Source organism: Homo sapiens, chromosome 22 (genome assembly GCF_000001405.40).
Source record: "Homo sapiens chromosome 22, GRCh38.p14 Primary Assembly".
Lineage (NCBI taxonomy): Eukaryota > Metazoa > Chordata > Mammalia > Primates > Hominidae > Homo > Homo sapiens.
The window spans coordinates 37,166,759-37,188,682 of NC_000022.11; the positions used below are offsets into that span (position 1 = coordinate 37,166,759).

At 54.7% G+C, this 21,924-nt stretch overlaps 2 protein-coding genes and 1 long non-coding RNA gene across 14 annotated transcripts in view, besides 9 other annotated features; 1 reads left to right on the forward strand and 2 right to left on the reverse strand.

Annotated features, from left to right (window-relative positions):
- IL2RB (interleukin 2 receptor subunit beta) overlaps positions 1 to 8,360 on the reverse strand; it is a 49,281-nt gene extending 40,921 nt beyond the window's left edge. The window contains exon 1 of one of the 2 annotated variants that reach the window (NM_001346222.1): positions 8,236 to 8,360. The gene's annotated coding sequence lies outside the window, so the exon portion shown is untranslated. Of the gene's footprint in view, positions 1 to 8,199 lie in introns of both variants that reach the window. The other variant, NM_001346223.2, reaches the window with a different exon arrangement.
- On the forward strand, positions 1 to 20,064 carry IL2RB-AS1 (IL2RB and C1QTNF6 antisense RNA 1). Its single transcript, NR_199008.1, has 2 exons — positions 1 to 206; positions 15,671 to 20,064. It is a non-coding gene; the product is annotated as an IL2RB and C1QTNF6 antisense RNA 1 (long non-coding RNA).
- Positions 172 to 221: an enhancer, noted in NCBI's record as "active region_18945". NCBI's record gives its function as "activates an Ori minimal core promoter by ATAC-STARR-seq in GM12878 lymphoblastoid cells {active_cell/tissue: GM12878}" and the evidence as "EXISTENCE:reporter gene assay evidence [ECO:0000049][PMID:35858748]".
- Positions 1,536 to 1,595: an enhancer, noted in NCBI's record as "active region_18946". NCBI's record gives its function as "activates an Ori minimal core promoter by ATAC-STARR-seq in GM12878 lymphoblastoid cells {active_cell/tissue: GM12878}" and the evidence as "EXISTENCE:reporter gene assay evidence [ECO:0000049][PMID:35858748]".
- Positions 8,118 to 8,494: a mobile genetic element, named in NCBI's record as "IL2RB LTR promoter".
- Positions 8,236 to 8,494: a promoter, noted in NCBI's record as "1/260 LTR promoter fragment". NCBI's record gives the evidence for it as "EXISTENCE:reporter gene assay evidence [ECO:0000049][PMID:21865161]".
- Positions 12,868 to 13,728: an enhancer, noted in NCBI's record as "H3K4me1 hESC enhancer chr22:37575666-37576526 (GRCh37/hg19 assembly coordinates)". NCBI's record gives its function as "activates a minimal SCP1, AML or CMV promoter by ChIP-STARR-seq in primed H9 embryonic stem cells {active_cell/tissue: H9 hESC(primed)}" and the evidence as "EXISTENCE:reporter gene assay evidence [ECO:0000049][PMID:30033119]".
- The window catches only part of C1QTNF6 (C1q and TNF related 6), a 19,258-nt gene continuing 10,741 nt past the window's right edge, over positions 13,408 to 21,924 (reverse strand). For 5 of the 11 annotated variants that reach the window (XM_047441114.1, XM_024452153.2, XM_047441113.1 and 2 more), the window contains 3 exons: positions 19,113 to 19,288; positions 18,460 to 18,697; positions 13,408 to 15,977 (listed from right to left, as the gene is read on the reverse strand). In XM_047441114.1, coding sequence (XP_047297070.1) covers positions 15,430 to 15,977; positions 18,460 to 18,697; positions 19,113 to 19,163 — 837 coding nt within the window. In that variant the 5' untranslated portion in view covers positions 19,164 to 19,288 and the 3' untranslated portion in view covers positions 13,408 to 15,429. Of the gene's footprint in view, positions 15,978 to 18,459; positions 18,698 to 19,112; positions 21,719 to 21,924 lie in introns of those variants that run through there. The other 6 variants (NM_001365878.1, XM_011529857.3, NM_182486.2 and 3 more) reach the window with 5 other exon arrangements.
- Positions 13,729 to 14,588: an enhancer, noted in NCBI's record as "H3K4me1 hESC enhancer chr22:37576527-37577386 (GRCh37/hg19 assembly coordinates)". NCBI's record gives its function as "activates a minimal SCP1, AML or CMV promoter by ChIP-STARR-seq in naive H9 embryonic stem cells {active_cell/tissue: H9 hESC(naive)}" and the evidence as "EXISTENCE:reporter gene assay evidence [ECO:0000049][PMID:30033119]".
- Positions 20,593 to 21,228: an enhancer, noted in NCBI's record as "H3K27ac-H3K4me1 hESC enhancer chr22:37583391-37584026 (GRCh37/hg19 assembly coordinates)". NCBI's record gives its function as "activates a minimal SCP1, AML or CMV promoter by ChIP-STARR-seq in primed H9 embryonic stem cells {active_cell/tissue: H9 hESC(primed)}" and the evidence as "EXISTENCE:reporter gene assay evidence [ECO:0000049][PMID:30033119]".
- Positions 21,229 to 21,862: an enhancer, noted in NCBI's record as "H3K27ac-H3K4me1 hESC enhancer chr22:37584027-37584660 (GRCh37/hg19 assembly coordinates)". NCBI's record gives its function as "activates a minimal SCP1, AML or CMV promoter by ChIP-STARR-seq in primed H9 embryonic stem cells {active_cell/tissue: H9 hESC(primed)}" and the evidence as "EXISTENCE:reporter gene assay evidence [ECO:0000049][PMID:30033119]".
- Positions 21,863 to 21,924: part of an enhancer, noted in NCBI's record as "OCT4-NANOG-H3K27ac-H3K4me1 hESC enhancer chr22:37584661-37585296 (GRCh37/hg19 assembly coordinates)", that runs on past the window's edge. NCBI's record gives its function as "activates a minimal SCP1, AML or CMV promoter by ChIP-STARR-seq in naive and primed H9 embryonic stem cells {active_cell/tissue: H9 hESC(naive and primed)}" and the evidence as "EXISTENCE:reporter gene assay evidence [ECO:0000049][PMID:30033119]".

Below are 21,924 nucleotides of genomic sequence, written 5' to 3' on the forward strand. Positions count from 1 at the left end.
GAAGTCGCGGCCAGGAGCGTGACCACGCTGGACCGTGTCTGCTGCCTCCCCGGGAGTCGCAAGTGCCCACAGGACAAGCAGGGGAAGCAAACTGGGCCCCTGGCTTCTGGGAAGACAGCATGAGGGCAGACCAAGGAAAGGCAGCCGAGACCAGCAGACCTGCAAGGGATCTCGGAGGCTCTCAGGCCCAGCTGCTTGCTGAATAGGTAATGATGCATCTGGGCCCAGAGAGAGGCAGCTCTCAGCCTTAGGTCACACAGCAGGGCAGGAGTGTGAACTCTGGCCTCCAGCCTCCGAGGTCCCCTCATCCCACCTAACCCCCAGACTCAGAGAAGGACACTCCACCCAAGCAATTTCTCACCTTCCCCTTAATTGGTACAGATCAGAAACGGGAGCACCTCCTTCTCCTGGCCCCCACGTTTAGGGTTCCCAGGACAGCCTCCGACCCACCCTCTGCCCCTCCTGTATCCCTTTCCTCGGCCCTGGGTGACAGCACCCCTGCCCAGACCAGCTCTGACTGCCTCCAAGTGCCAAGCGCTCACAGTCCTCTACCCCCAGCCCCAGCCGGCACCCTCAGTCTCGTCCCACCATCTCTCTGCCTCCTGAGTCCCTCCCTGAGTCCCATGCCCTCTGCCCCAGCGACTGCCCTTGTAAAGTGAAAATCCGACCCCACCCAACATTTCCTGCTGCACTTATGCAGTATCCAGGCCTCCTCGCCATGGAAAGCCCAGGCCTGCGGCCTCTCTGGCTTCTTCTCTCCCTTGCCCCACTGCCCCTGGCTGTCTGGCAGTTCCTGGAAGTCTCCAAGCTCTTCCCTGCCTCGAGCCCCTGCCCACGTTCTCTCTGCCCCAGGCCTCAGCCTGCGGTCACTTTCTCAGGGCAGCTTTCCCAGCACCCCGTGCATCTAAAGTGGATGCTGCCCTGCCCATCACTGGATCAGGTGCTCATATTCCTAATTGACTGGGCATAGGTGGGAGGATTTGCCTGGTGTCTGTCTTCCTGGCTGGACTGCGGTGCCTCAAGGCCACAGGTGAAGTGCATGGAGTCCCACAGCTTCTCTGAGCCTAAAGCTTTGTGTGACAAATGCATTCAAACTGCATTTATTGAAAGATGGGAAGCAAGGGAGGAAGGGAAGGGGTGCGGGAGGGAGGGAGGACAATCTTGGTGTTGGGCTGAGGTGGCGTCTGTCCCCTTTGCATGAGTTCAGTAAGGATTTACTGAGCACCTGCTGGCAGCAGCATGCTGGGCACTGTGGGAATGACAAGGATGTGTGGGATTTGAACTCTAACTCAGAGTACCTTCTCTTGGTATGGAGGTAGGACAAGTATGCAAATGATTATAACTAAGGAAATCGTGTCAATGTGGTGACCCTTGGCCTGAACTTTCAGAACAGTCCTGGTATCACGTGAGAAGAGTAAATACATGTGATTTGATTCTAAACTGGCTAAGACGTTATTAAAGAAAGTAACAAGACAGAAAAAATACTTTTTCAGGCTGTCTGTGCAGTTTTGTCTTTAGAAAATGTGGTCATAATGAGTATGAGAGGCATAGAGCGTGCCCAGTTTGAAACGCCTGCAAATGACAAAACACAAAAACACAAACCCAAAAATAGAACGTGGCTTGGCTGGAGCCATAGGGGAGGCTCCAGAGGATGTGGCATCGGTGCTGTGGGCAGTGGGTCATTGTGCAAAGGCAGTGAGGGCTGGGTCCCCATCCCACCTTGGCCACTTCCTAGCTGTGTGATCTTGGATAAGTTCCTTTACCTCTCTGAGCCTGTTTCTGCATCTGAAACATGCGACTACTCCCCACCTCTTAGGTTCATGGGGATGGCATGAGATTGTGCACACAGAGAAGCCATCACCCACAGTTCCTGGCATGCAGGAGGCACCTGAGGAAGGCTGGGTTCTTCCTCTTCTCTGGGAGGATGGGGATGAGTGTTCCATAGGCCGGAATGGGTCGAGAGAAAGGGCCCAAGACAGAGGGAGCTGCAAGAGCCAAGGCACAGACTAGGTGGCTGAAGGCAGTTGGGGAACAACAATTATCACCAGAGCCTAATATTTCCCCAGCTCCATCTCCTTCCCTCCACGCCCAGTGCCAGAGGGGCACTGCTTATATAGGGGTTCTGCTTACAGAGGGGTTCTTGCTTACAGAGGGGTTCTGTTTACAGAGGGATGCTGTTTACAGAGGGGTTATTGCTTACAGAGGGGTTCTCGCTTACAGAGGGGTCCTTGTTTACAGAGGGATGCTGTTTACAGAGGGGTTCTTGTTTACAGAGGAGTTCTGTTTACAGAAGGGTTCTTGTTTTCAGAGGGGTTCTTGCTTACAGAGGGGTTCTGTTTACAGAAGGATTCTTGTTTTCAGAGGGGTTCTTGCTTACAGATGGATTCTGTTTACAGAGGGGTTCTTGCTTACAGAGAGGGGTTCTTACTTACAGAGGGGTTCTGTTTACAGAGGGGTTCCTGTTTTCAGAGGGGTTCTTGCTTACAGAGGGGTTCTGTTTACAGAGGGGTTCTTGCTTACAGATGGATTCTGTTTACAGAGGGGTTCTTGTTTACACGTTTACAGAGGGGTTCTTGTTTACAGAGGGGTTCTTGCTTACACAGGGGTTCTGTTTACAGAGGGATTCTGTTTACAGAGGGTTCTTGCTTACACAGGGGTTCTGTTTACAGAGGGGTTCATATTTGTTAGCGGGACGCTGCCATGTCATCCTTCACTCTGCATCCAGAGCATCCTTGCACACAACTCTTCAGGGGCTCCCCACTGCCCTCAAGACCCTATCCAAGCATCCTGAGTCTGGCTTCAAGGCTGTCCCTAACTGGGCCCCCTCTTGAAGATCCCCCTTTGCATCCAATCCTCTGGCCACACAGAACGCAGAATCGCTTGCATGCCTCCCCCTCCTCCCAGGGTTTGCCCCCTCCCTGCCCTGCATGTGGCATCCTTCCTTTGCCTTCTTATCCCGCGGACTCATCATCCTTCAGGCCCCGGGTTCACATCCTCCGTGAAGCCTCCCAGGCCTTTACCCTTGCTTTCTGATGGGGTTAGGTACCTGCCAGAGGCCTTCCTTCTCTCCCCAACTAAAGTGGGTGCTCCCCAAGGGCAGGAACTGAATCCCATTCATTCTGCATTTCTTTATGCTGCCTGGTATGTGCCTGGAGCATAGGAGGTGCTTAGTCATTGTGATGTGGATAGAAGGGTGGTTAATGGGTGAATGGAAAATGGACTGATGGATGAACAGAAGAAGGATGAATGGGGGGATCATGGAGGGAATGATGGAGGGAGAGAAGGAATGATGGGGGAGAAGGAAGGAAGGATGGGGGAGAAGGAAGGAAGAATGGATGGATGGATGGATGGATGGATGGATGGATGGATGGATGAAGGGATGAACAGACAGACGGATGGACAGACAGTGGATGTGGATGGACAGAATAATAAGACTCTTTCAGGAAGGCCAGAACACAGCAGAAAGGCCCTGAAGAAAACCAAAGCAGCTGCAGGAAGTTTGGTGTTTGCCAAGGTTGGGGGTGAAATGAGCTACCTGTTTTGCAGAAGAGATGGGGTGTGTTTTAGCAGCTGACATCACAGAAGGTGCAGGTCCCAAGACCTAACAGGAGAGCAGCTGAGAAGAGCAACAGCTCCTCATAGACAGGGATGGACAAGCTAGGCCAGCAGCGGGGGCAGACTCTGCACTGTCCCCGCTGCCCCCAGCCGTGGAGAGATGCGTGTCTGCCACAGGGGAAGCAGCGCCACCCAGGGGCTGGGGTAATGACAGGCGTGGCCTCTTGGGGGTGGACAGTCTAGAACCCAAGCCTCCATCCCTCTCTGTGGAGGCATCATGGGAGTCGACTTGCCCCTTCTGGCCACCTCTCAGTCCCAAGGGTGCCACATTTGGGGTTCTCCACCACGCAGTCACTGCTTGACGTGGCTCATGGCCTCCCAGCCTCACTGCACGGGCCACACACACTTCCCTCAGTTCCTTTCCTCATTGTCTCCGCAAACACACAGATTCCTGCTGCCTTTAAGACTTTACTGCTGATCTCCAAAGAGATGAAGCAATCTCAAAGATAAACATGAAGCAAATCCAAAGAAATCCTGCAAAATTCTGGGAGCGCCTTTCTGTGGTTGGAAGCTGGGCACGTGGTGGGATGATCCTGCCAGCCTGTGGAACTTCCGATATTATGGATGAGGGTGGATTTTACTACCTCCCAAATTCTAGGACTCACGCTCTTTTTTTTGGGTGGGGAGGGGGACAGAGGCTCGCTCTGTTGCCCAGGCTGGAGTGCAGTGGCACAATCTCAGCTCCCTGCAACCTCTGCCTCCCGGGTTCAAGCAATTCTCCTGTCTCAGCCTCCCAAGTAGCTGGGACTACAGGCGCGGCCACCATGCCTGGCTAATTTTTGTGTTTTTAGTAAAGACAGGGTTTCACCATGCTGGCCAGGCTGGTCTCAAACTCCTGACCGCAGGTGATCCACCCACCTCGGCCTCTCAAAGTGCTGGGATTACAGTTGTGAGTCGTCATGCTTGGCCTCACGCTCTTTCATTCAAATAATATTTATTGAGGAGCCCCTATGTGCCAAACCCTTTTTCTAGAGGCTTAGGACACAACAGTGAACAAAACAAAGACGCCTGCCCTTGTGACGCTTACAGTCTAGTGGGGAGTGGGGTGAGAAACAGACAATAAACATAAGGACTAAGTAAGTTTCATAGGAGGTTAAAAGATGAAAAACGCTATCAGAAAAGAAAAAATGGGAGACAGAGAATCAGGAGCACAATTTTAAACAAGGCAGTCAGGGTAGATGGACCTCACCAGAAGGCGATGGGAAAATCTGAAGGAAGGAGGGAGCCAGGCAGAACTGGAGGAAGGATGAAAACTATGGAATGCTTCCTGAATATGCGAGGCAATTTATAACTCCCTGAAATGTGCCACATGATTCCCAATGCATGCCTTTGCCTACGCTAGACTGCAAGCTCCACGTGAGAAGAGACTGCTTGACTTGTTCTCAGAAAGTATTTATGGGATTTATAGATGCAGTTGTACAGAATAGAAAGCTGCTCACAATCCTCTTCTTCACCTTTCCTCCTAGAAAACTCCTACACAGCCTTCAAGACCCAAACACATATGGGCAGAGTTGGTTGCTCCTCCTTTGAGCTCGCTACTCTTGCACCTTATATAAACCTCTTTTATAGCCCCAATACACTGTGTTTCCCTCATTTTACTGCGGGTCAGAGCTTTCCCCTGGGTTGAGAACCCGCAAGGGGATCTGACCTGTCTGAGCTATTTATGGATCCCCAGAGCTCCTGGGACAGATGCTCGGCTGACGTTGTCAGGATTGAAATGACCTGTTACTGCTTTAATGCTCCCTCTCAAGTAGGTGGTTTGCATTTCTGGGACCTTTGGCACCTCAGTTGAGGCTCTCTGGTTGTGAGCAAGAAAACTCAACTATTAACTAAAGGTAAAGTAAAAAAAAAAAAAAAAAAAGTGATGTTGGGGATGGAGGCAAGGGGCTAGAGCCCCAACCAAACCTGCAGGAAGGAAAAGCCAGGGTAGCCCCAGCTCCTTGGCGCCCGCTGTGCTTGGGATCCCTGGCTGCACCTCCTAATGCACTCGGCTCCATCAGCTCCTGGCTGCGGTCCTGCTTCCCAAATCTGCAGAGCAGGACTCAAGCTGGCCCTGCTAGGGTTGGGGCCTCCCTTGGAGCCGTCAACCATCCAATAGGGCCCAGAATGAGGTAGAGAGATGAGCCCAAGGGTGGGGTAAGGGGCTGAGGTTTTGGGGGTGGGCAGTGGCGAGGGGTCCCTGGAGAAGAGGGGAACTTGTGAGCCTGGGGCCACACCCAAAGTGCCTCCTTCACTGGGCCCAGCCCCCACCCAAGCCGCATTTCTAATGAAGGCTTTGTTTTGTAAGAATTTTTAAATGCTTTAACTAGAAATTGGCAAACTGCAACATCTGCCAATTTCTAGCAGTATATATCCTGCCACCATGACCCATTTCAAGCTAGCATCGTGATGTCTCTGAACCTGCGATCGGGAAGACATGCATGCAGTCGGCTCTGGTGCAAGCTGGCTCCAGCCACCATTGGCTGTGGGGCTGAGGGCACAAGCCTCCTCATAGACTCCTGTAAGGAGCCCTGCCCTGTCTTGAGAACCACCGAAAGAGCTAGAGAGTGTTTCCCATCCTCCAGCCATCCTCTGAGAAGTCATAGCTCAGGTCCTGGATGAGCCTCCCCTCTTTCCCAGGAACCATCCCTTCCTTCTGGTGTGGCCCACTGGACAAGATCGAATATCCCAGGTCCTGCAAAACCTGGCTCCTTCCGGCCTCTGGGTCTTTCTTTCAGTTCCTGGGAGGGGCTGAGCAGCCTCCTACCTCCTGGCCTTGACCCATATTGGCCCCTCCACCAGCTGTGCTATGTCTCTCATCTTTGGGTCTCAGCTGAACCACCTCTTCCTCAGAGAGGCCTTCCCTGACCACTTCTCCCTCCCAAATTTGCTTCTCCCTTGCCAGCACTTACCCCACGCTGAAGCCCTGCTGTGACTGTGTAATGTCTCTCTCCCCTATTAGACTGGAAGCCGCATGAGGGCAGGGACCATGTGGGGTTTTGGCTCACCACACTGTCCCCTGTGCTTAGCACAGGGCCAAGCCTATAGAATAGGAATCAATCCATAATTATTGATTGGGTAAACAAATGACACATGAAGGAAGGAAATTAATCAGTTTTTCTGTACTTCACAGTTTCTTCTTCTGTAAAATAAATATAAGAAAGTGTCTACCTTAAAATAATTTTTAACATTTATAGAGCACCTCCTACGTACCAGTATTTTACATATACTTACTCCTTTAATCCTCACAACAGCCCAGATAGTGTTAATATCATCCCCATTTTACAGGTGACAAAACTGAGGCACAGAGAGTTTCAGTGACCTCCCCTCATTTACTCAGATTTGAACCCAGGCAGTGCCTCCAGCAGCCTCAGCATTAACCACACACTAAACTGCCAGGGGGGGTTGGGGAGGGGTCCTGGAGGTGGTAGCTTTGGCGCTGCTGTAGCCCTGCTGCCCCAAGAGCTTGAAGCCTCGTGAGCAGAGCCAACTATTGCTAAACACTATAACCAGGGGACGCTCAGGGATCCAGCTGCCTCTCACATCTGGGAAGATTTCCTGGAACCAAGACACCCTGGCTGAGTCAGGCACCCGCATCTGACAATATGGCCAGAGAGTTTTTACGAAATGTGAACCAACTGGACTCTCAACAGCTTCTCCCCACCCCACCCCAACCTGTGAGTGGGACTCTGATCTTGCCTGGGGCTCCAGCCCAGCCCCTCAGGGTTCAGGGGTAAATCTCACTTCCCCGAGGTTGGGTTAGGTATGGTTATGTGACCAGCTGTGGCCAATGAGAAGCGAGAAGAGGCTTTTGGACAGAAGAATCTCTGATTCTCTTTCACCCACCCTTGCCACATCCATGAAACGGAAGGGTTCGTCGCTGGGTTTTGAGACTTTTTTCCATGAAGCTGAAGGCCAAGGGAGCTGAAAGCCTTGCCACTGAATGCTGAAACAACCTTCACTGGCTACTTTAGAGATAACATTCATAGGTCACCATGGTAATGGTGGCTTCGGTTGTTTTTCAGGAATTGGGCCAGCTGAAACCAGTTGAGACCCTTCAGCTGGGGAACCGTATATGTGCCCAAGAGATGGCCATTTGATATTGGAGGACCAAAAGCACCACGCTCAGATCAGGCCAATGCATCTGTTTTCTGTATGTGTCCTATGAAATGCCATGAACCCCAACTATGCTTGTACAGAACAAACCGGTTACGTCATTCTTCCCCACTGCCAATCACCTGTCCCCACACCTTAGATCACCCCACTTCTCTAACCCATTCATATCCCTAAACCTTGTCTTTGGGGAGGCAGATTTGAACGCTGTTCTCCCACCTCCTTGCTTGGCAGGCTTGTGAATCAATCTTTTCTCTTTTGCAAATCCCAAGTCACAGCGATTGGCTGCACACTGGCAGAACAGATTGGGACCTGGCGGGTGATACCCAGATATGACACCTGGACCCAGAACAGAAATCTCATGGCCACCATCTTGAGACTGCCATCCTGTGGCCCTGAGGGAAGCTGGCTGTATTAGTTCGTTCTCACACTGCTATGAAGAACTGCCTGAGGCTGGATAATTTAGAAAGGAAAGAGGTTTAATTGACTCACGGTTCCACATGGCTGGGGAGGCCTCAGGAAACTTACAATCGTGGTGGAAGGCGAAGGGGAAGCAAGGCACCTTCACATGCTGGCAGGAGAGCGAAGTGCAGAGTGAAGGGGGAAGGGTCCCTTATACAACCATCAAAACTCGTGAGAACTCACTCACTATCACGAGAAAAGCATGAGGGTAACCGCCTTCATGATCTAATCGCCTCTCACCAGGTGCCTTCCCCAACATGTGGGGATTGCAATTTGGATTACAATTCAAGATGAGATTTGGGTGGGGACACAGAGCCAGATCATACATCATTGGCCTAAGGGCAAATCTGTTGTGCTGAGAATGGAGATATGGGGCAGACCCAGGTCCTTAGCGAGCTGCTGAGCTGCTCAGCTGCTGAATTGACGGACCCTGAGCCGCCCTGCCTGGGACTTAGGGTTACTTTTCTCTCTTGCTGCTTTGGGTTGAATATGTGTACCTTGCACCCAAAAGCATCTTAACAAATACAGAAACTACGAGGCAAAAAGCAGAGGGGGAAAGGGAGACTTCTGCACGTTCTTAGGTTTCAGAACAAGGAGAGCCCCACCAGAAGCTTTGGGAGAGGTTGCCTTGAGCCCTCTCCCGACACTCAGAGGAGCTCAGATGAGCTCAAGGAGCGTCATCCCTGGGTGACGGGGTGGGGAGGTGCAGAGGGGAAACAAGAGATGAGTTAGGATTGGGATTCCTGGCCAAAGTGATCCTGTCTCCTCCTTCCCAGGCAGACCCCCAACAGGTTTGGGACATCCGAGCTTCAGAGGAGCCATTCTTCTCTTCCTGGGCAAAACCCTAGAAAGGCAGCTGAGACCCCAGGGAAGAAATGGCCCCAGGGTGTATCCGGGCAGATAGGGCTGGGTGAGACAGCCCTCAGAGAGGCAAGGAACTTGTGTACAGGAAGCACCCAGGTGTCCCAAGAGGGATGAGGACCCGGGAGGCGCTGTGGGAGTGAGCATGAATCAGGAGGTATGGGAGTGGGACCCGGAGCCCAGAGCAGATGGGACATTGCCAAACTCGCAGAGGAAACGTGGACATGGAGTGCCCCAGCTCCTCCCTGCTGGCAGGGAGGGGCACTTAGATGCAGCCGCAGGGAAATATCGGGGGGCGGGGAGGAATCCCAGCTGCCAAAATCACATTTCTTTGACTTCAGCCCATGGAAATGCCTAATGGGAGTGAAATTTACTCAGAGAACTAAAGCACGGCCTGTTTTGTATACATCTGCATTTGTGGCATCCATTCCTTCCCACCAGAAGCGAAGAGCAGCCAGCCACCTGCAGGAACCGCCCCACCCTCCCACTCTACTGCTGACCTGCAGAGGGTCACCTCTTTCCTCCACGCGCCTACAGCCAGCCCTCTCCAATGACTCCTTCCTCCCGTGAAGCAACCCTACTTCTGCCGCCAATGCCACCACCTCCAGGCTGCAACTCCACAGCCCACCTGACTGTATGCTACGACCCCAGCCCCCAGGTGCTGGTCACCACCGCCTCCTGTCCTCCTGGGTCTGAAGGCCAGCTGCTCCAAAGCCACGCCAGCTTAGCCCCACGCACCCTTGACTCGTGTCCTGGAAATCCCTCCTTCCTCTCTGGCTCCTGCGGCCACCCGCTGGCCTCACCCATAATGTTCTTGACATCTGTTTCTGGTCATGTTAAGTTTCTGCCTGTGTTTCTCCTTTCCTCCAGACGCACACGTGGCAGTATGTGGCTACTGTGACGGGCCTGCCAAGTGGAGGAGGAGGCGGGGAGAGGAGAGGGGGGCTGCAGGGCCTCCTCCCTGGCCAGAGACTGTTGCTTCTCACTTCGCCCCGCACCTTTCCCACGATGCTCAGAGAGGTCACTCATCGAACCCATGCCATTTGAGCACGGCTGTGTGCCAGACACTGCTAATACCGAGATACATCGTCACGTGGAGTCCTCTATCGGAACAAAGCCAAGACTCACAGAGAGGAAGTGACAAGCCCCGGTCATACTATAGGAAAAATAATGTTGTGCGCCCTGAACCAGGAGCTGGTCTAAGGAAAGGGTGTGCTGGGGTCAGAACCCGCAGCCTGGCTCCAGATTCCATACATGCCGGCGTCTGAGCACTCACCACCTCTCTCAGGCTTCCCCAGCCCTGTCCCGTACACTTAGTATTCTCTGGGACAACTGCTGCTAATTTCACGTTTTCTGTCCCACTGCCACTTCTCCATGGGTCCTGGTTTGGGGTTCTGAAAATAGCCATGCCCCTGCAGCCTTGGATACCCTGAAGTCCTCAGTGGGGTAAGAGAGAAGGGCTTTTGCATCTGATATTACAGATAAGGACAATATGGGGCCCAAAAAGGCTAAACGATTTACCCAGCACCCTCCAGTCCTCCAGCCAAACAAGGGACTCTCCTGGGCAGAGCTGCCACAGGAGCCCACCTCCTGGCACCCCGGCCTGCTGGCTTCCCACTGGCTAACGAAAGCCTTGTGGGAGAAACACCCTGGTAGACCCTTAATCCAAGCTGGACCCCGTCCCCCCAACAACCCCCAGCTGCCCTCCTGCCTCCTCTCTGCTGTTGAATCTCTCACCAACTTCAAAGTCAATTGGGGACATGCCTCCCCCTCCAGGATGACATCATGATTCACCCAGTTTCTAGGCGTTCTATGTCCTCCCCTGGACCATGGCACAGGCCCCCTCACTGCCTCCAGCTTCACCCTCTGCAGCCTGTGCTCCACCTGGCTGCAGAGTGATCTGCCTCTTAAAGGCACCCCAGCACCTAAGAAAGAGGTCAATCCTAGACTTAGCCTGACATTCCAGGCCTTTCCTGTCTCAAACCCCATTCTGCTCTCCTTGCCTCCTTTCCAGACATCTATCCAACCTACTGGTCTCTCCCACTGCCCAGAGCATAGACTACATTGGTCCGCCTGCAACCCTTTCCTCTCATCAGCTCCTTGCCCCATGTCAAGTGCCTTTGAGACTCCTATTCACCCTCCAAGGCCCTTCCCACATGTCCCCTCCACTAAGAAGCCTTCCCAGATCGCCACATAAGAATTATCTACTCCCTTCCCCACACTCCCATGTGGCAGAGGAGCTCCTGCGCTCATCTCCCCAGGAAGGCTGAACACTTCCAGACACAACCTAACCTAGCCCATGAAATGGATCCAGCCCATCTATCCAGACAGCAGGTCACCAGGGACACCATCAAGCTAAAATCCCTGCACCAGCTCTGCCCCTGATTTTAACTCAGGCTCCCATCTAATCACCCTTTCCCCCTTAATCTTCCCTGCACTTGCCCCGGGCCACTCAACAAAACGATGGCAAGGTGGGGGTGAGGTCGCCCTGTCTGGGGTACACTCCTTGTCAGGGGTATTTTTCATTTCCCACGGCTGCTTCCCCTCTTGACCACCCTTTCCTTCCCCTTCCTCATTGCCTAACGTTTCAGGCGGAAAACGTTTTCAAAATATGTAACTTAAAGGGATTGCCCCAGAGGTGATTACATGGGCATTCAGCCAGCTTGCTGAGGTCATCAGTACTAAGCATGGCAGATCTCCTGGGGGACGCTGTGCCCCACAGACCTGGCAGCAGGATTGGGGGCCTCCAGTTTCCCAGGACCTTTGACCAACCCCCGCCAAGAACGTGCCCATTGGGAGAAGCTTGTCACAAAGATCTAGTGGCTCTTAGCACCCATCCGGGTGCCATTGAGTCAGAAACCCAGACCTAGCGCAAAAAAACCTGGCCTAGACAGTCCAGAGGCCACATCTGAGCCCTGGGTGGAGGAATGTGTGCAGTGGGTCAGATGGGATGACACAAAGACAGCCGGCCTCTGTTCCCTGAACTAATGTGGCCTGGAACTGTCTGGGGGACTTGGCTTCAGTTTACAAAGGATAAGCTTCAATCCTCCTGCAGGCACTTGGCAAGAAGTTTCAAAGCTTTGCTGCCTCAGCGATCAGCAAATGGCTCATCCTTGTGCTGTACACGACAAAAGGCTCCTGGCTGGCACTCAGGACAGCCTTTGTCCCAAGGCTGGTGAGGCCGATTGTGTACAAATAGAGCCTGGCCCAGAAACACGCTGGAGATCGCTCCCCGGGGTAGCCTCTGACATGGGAGGAGCCTCTTTGGCAAGAGCTGTATGACCCTGAGGTGCAGTGGGAAGCCTCCCTTCAGTGTCAGGGGACCTCCGAGGAAACGGAGACCTGTCTGCCCCTGCAAGGTGGGCTGCTGGGCTGGGCTGAATCCTGGCACAGGTGTATGGTCAGTTCTCGATAGCATGCTTCTTCCACCTGGTGCCCAAAAGCCATGCAACACACCAGGGACAACACAGATAGAGCAGGATGCCCGGTCAAGTCTGTTGGGAAATCAGCGTCGGTCACTTTAAATATACTTATGTGAGTAGCCACCAGGCTAGCCTAGAGAGTCCAAACTTGACGACATATTAGAAAGCCAGGCCGGGCACGGTGGCTCACGCCTGTAATCCCGGCACTTTGTGAGGCCGAGGTGGGCAGATCACAAGGTCAGGAGTTCAAGACCAGCCTGGCCAACATGGTGAAACCCCCATCTCTACTAAAAATACAAAAATTAGCTGGGCGTGGTGGTGGGCGCCTGTAATCCCAGCTACTCGGGAGGCTGAGGCAAGAGAATCACTTGAACCTGGGAGGTAGCGGTTGCAGAGAGCCAAGATTGCGCCACTGTACTCCAACCTGGGTGACAGAGAGACTCCATCTCAAAAAAAAAAGAAAGCCAGATCCATCAAGATGCTCCACTGTACAATGTAGTAGTGTGTGTTTTCCCACAGAGAAGATCCAACAGTTCTCTCATCATAATTAAACGCAAAACATGCGACAGGGTCCCCGGGGCGGGAGGTGGGGGGGCTTGCGTGTGCCTCACTGGAGCATAAACGGCACAGGTGCTCAGCTCTGCGCCACACAGTTGGCGCTCAGCAGATGCTGAGCATGAACGCGGCACTCATCAAGCAACCTGGCATCTGATCCTTATGTCCACCGCATGAGGTAGATTACCATTGTCCCCATTTTACAGACAGGAAACCGAGGCGCAGAGATATGGGGACTTGCCCGAGGTCACAACCAAAGAGTGACACGGCTGACTCTATGCTGGTGCCACTAGCTCCAAGGCGCGCCAGCTGCGTGAGTGACCTGGGGGCTCGCTTCTTTGTGGGCAGGGAGCACGCAGAGTGGGCAGAGGGAGCCGAGCAGAAAGAACCAGTCTGAATCGCCAAGAGGAGACAGCATTCTTTAATCATGCTGGACGGCAGGGCGTGGCGGGGTCAGGCAGGGGCAGGATCAGGCAGGGTGGTTTATAGCACAGGTCTTCCTGGCACTTGGTCAGACCCTGTTTCCGTCATCTGGCCATGGAGCCACGGCTCCTCGGCTGTGAGCACCAGAGATCACCCCCCGGGGCACCTCAGCCCCAGAGTCTGCATGAGCACCAATGGGCGGAGGCCGCCTCCCTCTGGGGAGAAGGGCAGGCCACCTGGGTTTGGAAGGCTAGGGGAACACCAGGCCACCCCACCCTGGAAGAAGAAACGGAAGGCCTGAGGTCCCTCCTTTGCTCTAGCTCCCCAGACCTGCTGAGGGCTCTAAAGCCTGGGGCTTCCGTGGCCCTTCTCCTGCAGGTGTTTGTAAAGGCAGCACCAGGCCGGAGGAGGGCTCTGAGACGAGGAGCTGCCCACCCGGGCCTTAGCACCTTGATAAAGCCTGGAGAGTCGGGGCACTGGGCCGGTGAGAGGGGCATGAGGGGCAGAGAGCACCTGGGGACAGACATCAGTGTCTGAGGGCAGCTGGAGGCCCTGGGGAAACGGAAGTTCAGATGACTTTGGTGGAAGGGACTGAGCAAGGCCCTGGCAGAGCCCTGGGAGGAGGCAGGAAGGGGATCCCAGTGAGGAGGGCAGGTCTTCTCGCAGGATGCCGTATCAGCTGTGGGGAGAGCTATGGGTGTGGGTTCCATTCTTCGGGGGCCACTTCACCCCCCAAATGCCCCCACACTCCTGGGTCCTCTCCTCACAGAACCCTTGACCTGGCCAAGGCCCCCTGGGGTTTGCTGTAACGATGAGCACTGGGCAGGTGGATGAGGAACGGGAAGGAGATACCTGCCCCTGCCACCGGGACCCCGTCCCACCAGCCTTGGGGAGCAGTGGGTAATGGAGGACCAGCAGCACCTGAACACCCAGAACACAGGCCCCCATGAGCTCTGGGTCTGCTTTAAAACCTATGTACACATCTCTCCCCGCCTGGGCTGGACTGGCCAGTCACTGAGGGCAGGGGCAGGGCCTGTGTCTGACCCCCTCACCCTTCCCGGGACCCAGCACAGAGTGAGTGCTCAGTGTTTAATGAATGAATAAATGAACGGTGGCTGCAGTGGTGCAGGCCTGAGCAAGAGAAGAGGGGGAAGGGGTAAAGAGAACATAGCACGGGGAGCCCTGGAGGGATGAGAGAATTTAAGAATGTTGGAATTGGCCAGGCACGGTGGCTCACACCTGTAATCCCAGCATTTTGAGAGGCCGAGGCGGGTGGGTCACCTGAAGTCAGGAGTTCAAGACCAGCCTGGCCAATATGGTGAAACCCCATCTCTACTAAAAATACAAAAATTAGCCAGGCATGGTAGCAGGCGCCTGTAATCCCAGCCACTAGGGAGGCTGAGGCAGAAGAATCGCTTGAACCCGGGAGGCAGAGGTTGCAGTGAACTGAGATTGCACCACTGCACTCTAGCCTGGGCAACAGAGCAAGACTCTGTCTCAAGAAAAAAAAATGTTGGGAGAATTCTAGAATGTGGGGAGGATTCCAGAATGTTCAGAAAGTACTAGAATATTGAGAAAGTCCTAGAACCTGGTTGCTCCAGTGTGGTTCATAGACTGACCCCATCAGCATCACCCAGGAACATATGAGAAACACAGAATCCTGGACCCACTCAGACCTGCTGAGTCAGAATCTGCATTTAACACGAACCCCGGGTGATTCGCATGCATTTCCAAGTTTGAGAAGTGCTGGGCTACGAGGCTGGGAAAGTTCTAGAATATTTAGGTTAGCAAGCTTCTTAAAATAGGTCCAAGAGAGAAGAGAGGAGCAGAAATAGGCTGGGAGGGATGATGGCAGCCAAGATAGAAGCAGGGTCTCCCCAGAATGCCAGGTCCCCGGGGACCTCCCTGGCCTTCCTGCTTCACAGCAGTGCAAACTGAGCCCTGCAGGGGACGGGACCAGCACCTGAGCTCTCCAGCCGGGAGGGTGGCCCAGAGGCCCTCAGTCGTCCTCGGCCTTGATGAGGTGGCCGCTGAAGGTGATGTAGGTGTCGAAGTCGTTGCTGTAGATGGCGTTCTCGCGCTGGCGCTTGAAGAGCCGCACCCAGACGCGGTCCCCGTAGGCCAGGTCCAGCATCACACTCTGGCTCTGCATGATGCTGCGCTCGCTGGGCTGCGCGTACAGGATGACAGCCTCTTTCTGGTTATGCATAATGTGCACGTACGTCTCCTTGTAATTCCAGCTGTGCACATTGAGGCTGAAGAAGTAGATGCCACGCAGGGGAGCAGCAAACTGGCCGGTCGCCATGTCAAAGCACCCATCAAGGTTCACAAAGACCCTTTCGAAGAGCAGCGTCTGGAAGTCCTCGCCGCTGTGCAGGGCCGTCTTGCGGCCCACTGAGAAGGCGAAGAAGCGCTTCTGGCACGGGGCGCCGGGGCTGCCCATCTCCCCCTTGTCACCCTTGCTGCCCTGAGGGCCAGGCTCCCCTTGGGGACCCTCCCTGCCCATGTACCCTGGCAGGCCCATTGGGCCTGGGTCCCCTTTGTCACCTGTGGGGATAAAAAGGGGACAAGTCAGGGTGGACATCTGAGCCTGCTCCAAGGAGGTGCCCACACTCATCTGTGACGGCTCTGCCCCTGTCCTGGCCCAGAGAAGAAGCCAGCATTTATTTAGCACCTACTGTATGCCAGACATTGCCTCCCCACATGCCTGCCTAAAGAAAACATCATGACCGTCTTCACTTCACAGAGAGGGTGAGTGACTCACCCCGGGCCACACAGTGCAGGAGCAGAAGAGGCAGGACTTAAAATATGGTCTGTCCCCAGGGTGACTTGACTTCCCCTCACCCAGCAGGGAGGGTCCGACTGGTGTCTCTGGGAGGCCAGGCCCAGGCCCCCACCCCAGGACCACAGCGCAGTCCAGGCTGGCAGGGATGTGGGGTGTGCTGGAACATACTTTGGGTTTCTGACCCAGGGAAGAAACCAAGAAAAATACATTTGCCCACCTGGAGGAAAAGCCCAGGTTAGGAGCCAGGAAGCCCTTGGTTGGCAGTCCTGCCCTGTGTGACCTCGGGCACTCCACGGCTGGGGTCTCGGTTTTCTGGTCTATATTTTAAAGAGGATTATGTCCACCTCAGGGGTGTTTGTGAGCCCTCAACAAAATGTCCTGTGGGAAAGCACTTTGCAAACTCTGCAACTAAGAGGCAGAACAGTTCACCCAGCACGGCTGGCCCATCCCGACCTGCTCTGAGGTCTGGCAGCATCTACAATGGCCCCCAGGCAGGCACAGCCCTGCCCGGCCCTTAGTCCAGGCTGACTTTCAACATAAGAAAAGCAGGTGACCACCCACGCCTGGAGGGACCCGACCTCACATAGCTCCCTGCCACCTGTCACAGTGCCTGGAGTCACACGAGCAACCACATCCTTGCATGGGCTAGAAGGCCCTGTGTTTTCCACAGGGGGGGAAGGGGACAGAAAGGAGGGCACAGGCCCTTGAGGTGGAAGCCCAGAGAGCTGGGCAGGGCAAGGCCACAGCTCTGCAGGGTTCTGGCTCCACCGCCTGGCTGGAGAACCACGTCCTCACCTGCACAGCTCTAGACCTTGTGCAGGAAGTTTGTTGTGCCCCAGCCCAAGGAAAGGAAGGAGTGGAGGGTGGACAGGACGAAGGGACTATCTTCTTTTTACAAATAAGGCAGCAAGCTCAGGGCGGGGGAGAGACCAGCCTGACTCACTGGGCAAGGGGGCAGAAGAGGTGAGGCTGGGACCCAGGACTCCCAAAGCCAGCCCGAGGTCCCTCACGGCAGCCTACCCACCTCCCAGCAGGCTGCTGAGCTGGGCCCAGGAGCAGTGACCCTGGGTTTGGGGAGGGCAATGAGGAGGGACCATCAGCAGCCAGGCACCTCTCCAACCTCATGCAGAGAGCTAAGTCAGCCCTGGGGAAGCTGGGTGGGGAGGGGGGTGTGAGGAAGAGCAACGTCCTCACCACGAAATCAGAACAAGGGCAGGCCAGGTGCCAGGTGACCACTGGCTGTGCAGTGAGTGTCCCCGGGGAGAGCTCAGGAACAAATCCTGGCTCCATCCCTGACAGCTGTGTGGCCCCAGGAGACTGGGTTTCCCCATCTGCAAAGTGGGAGGAATAAGAAAATATCGACCTCACGGGCTGTTGTGGGCAGAGACGGACGCTAAGGATGTCAAGGCCTGGTCACAGCCGTCAGCCACCACAGCCTGGAAGGGAAGCGAGTCCTTCCACGTCCTATTGAGAGAGCGGGTAGCCAGCCCGCACCTGGACGGCCCTCACCTGGATGCCTTTCACCTGGACGGGCCCTCACCTGGACAGCCCTCACCTGGACAGCCCTCACCTGGATGGCCCTCACCTGGACAGGCCCCACAGGGCTGCATGCTCCGACCCTCGGCCCCCGCTGGTTGCTCTCCACATGACATTAGAGGGATCCATTTGAAACCTGGGTGGGATCAAGTCCCTGTCCCACCCAAACCTGCCCCTGTTCCCACTCCACTCAGCGGAGCCCAAGTCCCTACAGTAGCCGGGTGGTGACAGCACCCCATGTGATCTGAGCCTGGTGCATCTCCCGGCCCTGCCCCAGGGCCCCTGCACCAGCTGTGCCCTTTGCCAGGAGGCTCCTCCACCACCTCTTAGAAGCCTGTGCTCCATGGGTCCTCCACTGACCACCTCATTCAATATGCAGCCTGCAGCCCAGACCCGCACTCCTGAAGCCCCTTTTCATTTCCCAGAGCACTGATCACCATCGAACATTCCACTCCACTAACTTAGGTGATGTGTGCCTTGCTCACAGCCCATCTCCCCACCGAGAACGGGTGCTCAGGCAGGAGGCATCTTGGTCTGGTTTGTTCACGCTCCGTCATCAGTGTTTGGAACAGACCAGGCTCACATTGGGGCTCAATAACTCAGGATGAAAGAGGAGTCTGGACAGGTTTCCGCCCTGCCCTCTACTCCCTCCACCTCAGCTCCCTGGCCCTCCCTGCCCACTACCAGGCCCCACAGGAGGGCACTCACCCTTCAGGATGGTGATATTAATGTAGGGTCTGATCTCAGGCAGGGCGTGGGGGCGGCCGGAGGAAGAGGCTGAGGATACATGGGCAGGATCCAGGGGGTCCTCAGAGTCACAGCACCGTTGGCAGCCGCTGGCCACAGCTCTGTCAAAGGTGAGCTCCACCATAGGGATCTCACACATCAGGAGAAAGAGCAGGAGCGCTGCCCAGACGGGACCCAGGGCGGCTGTCCCCATGGTGACCTGGAACAAGGAAGGAGGGACAGGAACTATACTTCACTCAACATCTACTATGTGCCGATGCCTGGGGTGGGCGGGTGCTGCGTCCTCCAGCCACAGCACTCCTGACCTAACTCCAGAGGGAAGGTTATTGTCCCCATCTATCAGACAAGAAGACTGAGACCTCCACAGAGCAGCAAGTTCCCCAAGATCGGGAGGAGACTGGCAGGGCAGGGCCTGCATGCTGAGTCTCCGGGCACCCAGTCCATGGAGGCTTCTGCTCCACACAGGCCTTGGAAGGATGAAGCCCCTCTGAAAACAGCCACAGCTGAGAGCAGACAGGGATCCCAGGAAGCTTTGCTGGGGCAGGTGAGAAGATGCCCCAGCTGGCCATGGGTGGCAACCCAGGAGACCGTCAGATGCTTTCCCGCCCGCGCACCTCCCTCTGGCACTTTCTTGCCACCGACTCCACTATCTCCAGCAAACACATGCCCTCCGGGCAGGAGGACTGAGGTTAGTGAACACTGGGGACAAACGTGGAGGGTTCTGGAGGCTTGTTCTCAGGAGAGGGGATGGGTGGCCGAGCCCATGCTTTGGTGTGAGAACACCATAGTTCTGAAAAAAAAGAGATAAGAGAGTTCATTGATCCTAGCAGACAGAAAGCAACGTCCATGAGAGCATGTGGGGTGGTGCGCGGTGATGGTGTCATTGCATCGCTGAGCAGTCAGGAGAAGGAATACTGGGTCCTTGACTGCAGCCCATTGCTAGTCTTTAGAGTGCCTTTGTGCAAAGCAAAGAAGGTGCCCCTCTGGACAAATTAGAAATGATAAGAGTCCCCGTTGGAGGGACGTGATGCTGAGGGTGTGCAGCTTGGCAAGGGCTGGCGCTAGTCCACCTCCCTGCTCAGCACCTTTGTGCAGTCAACTATCTATGCAACCCAACCTTATCCAGAAGCCCTGCAGGGAGGGTTCTGTAGAGAGAGTTAGTTCATTGGAAGATGGTTGTGTCAATCATCGTAGACCTGCCAATCAGATGCCAAGGTGGTAAATTGGAATTAAGGGGTAGGACTAGGAGGTATAAAAAATTCTAAAGGATCAGAAAAGTGTAAGTGTTGGTGAGGATCTGTCTCTGGCCTTGGCCAAGAAGGGGTCTAGGGCTCCAGGAGAGAGGCAGGAAGTAGCCTGGACACCAGGCGCTAGAGACAGTCCTGGGTTGGGTGGGCAGGAAGCCGGGCAAAAAGACCTTTGAGGTGGTGCAGCTTCTGGGGGCTGGTGCCGAGTTATCACAGGATCAGAAACTCTGCTTTTGAAACCAGACTGGTTTTTACACTTCTGGCGTTTCTTTGTTTATTTCCTTTTTGTTCTCCTTTAACATTTAGTAGAATTCAAAAATATTTTTTTTGTGGTTAATACATGTAGACAAGGTACAATTATTACTTTTTAAAATGCCACCCTGTCTCAGCTGAGCACTGAGGTGAGGGCAGAGTTTTAAAGGGGCAGGATGGCCAGGTGCAGTGACTTACTCCTGCAATCCCAGCACTTTGGGAGGCCACGGAGAGAGGATCACTCGAGTCCCGGAGTTCGAGACCAGTCTGGGCAACATAGTGAGACCCTGTCTCTATTTTTCAAAAATTAAAACTAAAAATAAATAAAGCGGCAGGAGCCCTGCCCCCCACCCCCAGAGCTGGATGGTAGCAGCAGGAGAAGGGGGCTGGACAGGAAGTCTCCAGAGCCACCTCCCTCTTCCTGGAGGTGACTCTTCCCAAGCTTCTCTCTGCCCACCCTGGTTGGGTTCCTGGTTCTGCTCAATAAGGAGGTCAAATCCTCAGAGATCAACATCCTCCCTGTCTGAGACTGTCATCCTCAACTTTTACTTATAAATGACAAATCCCAGTGGTTTTGGAAATCCCAAAATTCCCTTCTTTTTCCCAGCCACAGATATGACCTCATGAGAAAAGCTGAGGTCTTAGAGTCAAATCTGAGACCCAGAATAGTTTGCAAGCTGTGTGACCTAGGGCTAGTGGCTGAACCTCTCTGGGCTTCCTGCTCCTTGATACTTACAAGGAAATGACACCACCCTTTCCCTCCCAGGTAATTTGGAAGGATTTCAATGCAGGAAAAGTGCCTGCCTTATAAAAGACTTAAAAAAAAAAAAAAAAGTGTGCTTTGACTTCTTCCCTGTGCCTGCATGGGATGGGAAGGAGAACTTCTCCCAGAGGACTGGCATGGTTTGGGAGCATTTCTGTTTCCTATTGGCCCCAGCGGATGGGAGTCAAAGGCTGTGAGACACAGAACCGTGGCCTGGGAGCAGGAATCAGGAAGCCGTTAACGAGGAATCATAACCACAGCCAGGATCACGAACTAGCTCTGGGGGTGGGTGCCAGGCAGGGACCAAGTGTGGGAACCAAGTCATAGGGAGGACTTTTGGGGTCCTTGCTGCTTCCACTGGGACCTCTTTGGGGAGGGAGCGGCAGGGCAACTTTTCTCGGTCCAGGCAGGCCGTGCAGAGCTGAGTTTGTGTGTGCCCGGGTAGGGGCGGGCACAAACCGGGAGCAGTGGAGCGCAGCCCTCAGCCAGAGGCAGGAGGAAATGTGGAGGGGAGAGCCTGGAGAGGCTGTCCCAGTCAGAGGGAGAGAGCAGGGCCCGAGATGCTTCCAGGAAGCAAGGAGGGAGGAGAGGAATTCCAGGCTCTGACCCCAGCCCCCAAGCTTGAGGAGCCTCTGGTCACTCACCCTGTGTCCTGTGGCCTCCCCAGGCGACTCACGGACCCTGAGCCACTGCATGGCCTCTGGCTCCTTGGCCCATGTCTGCAATACTAACTTGTTGCTGGCCCAGACCCCCAGGCCCAGCAGAGGAGGGAGAGAGGAGGGGATGGAGGGAGAGAGGGCGGAGGGAGGGCGGAGGGAGAGGGCAGAGCCGCTTCCCACTTCCCCTCCTCCCTGCTCCCTCCCTTTCAGCCTCTGGGTTCTGCGGAGATAAAGGGAGGCAGGGATTTCCTTTGCTTAACTCTTTGGTGATCCAGTGGGGTCTTGCTTGATTCAAAGGCCTAGAAAGTCAGAGCAGGCAGGAGTCTGAGGCCCCCTGATGATTGGGAAATGGACACAGGCATGGGGCACAGGAGCCCCTAGGTTGCTCAGGAAGGGGGAGGCAGCCCTGAGTCCACCCTGAGCTAAAGTGCTTAACTGCTCTGAGTCACAGAGGCAGGGTGGGTAGCAGAGAAGGTGCAGGTGTTGGCCCTCCAGGCACAGGCTA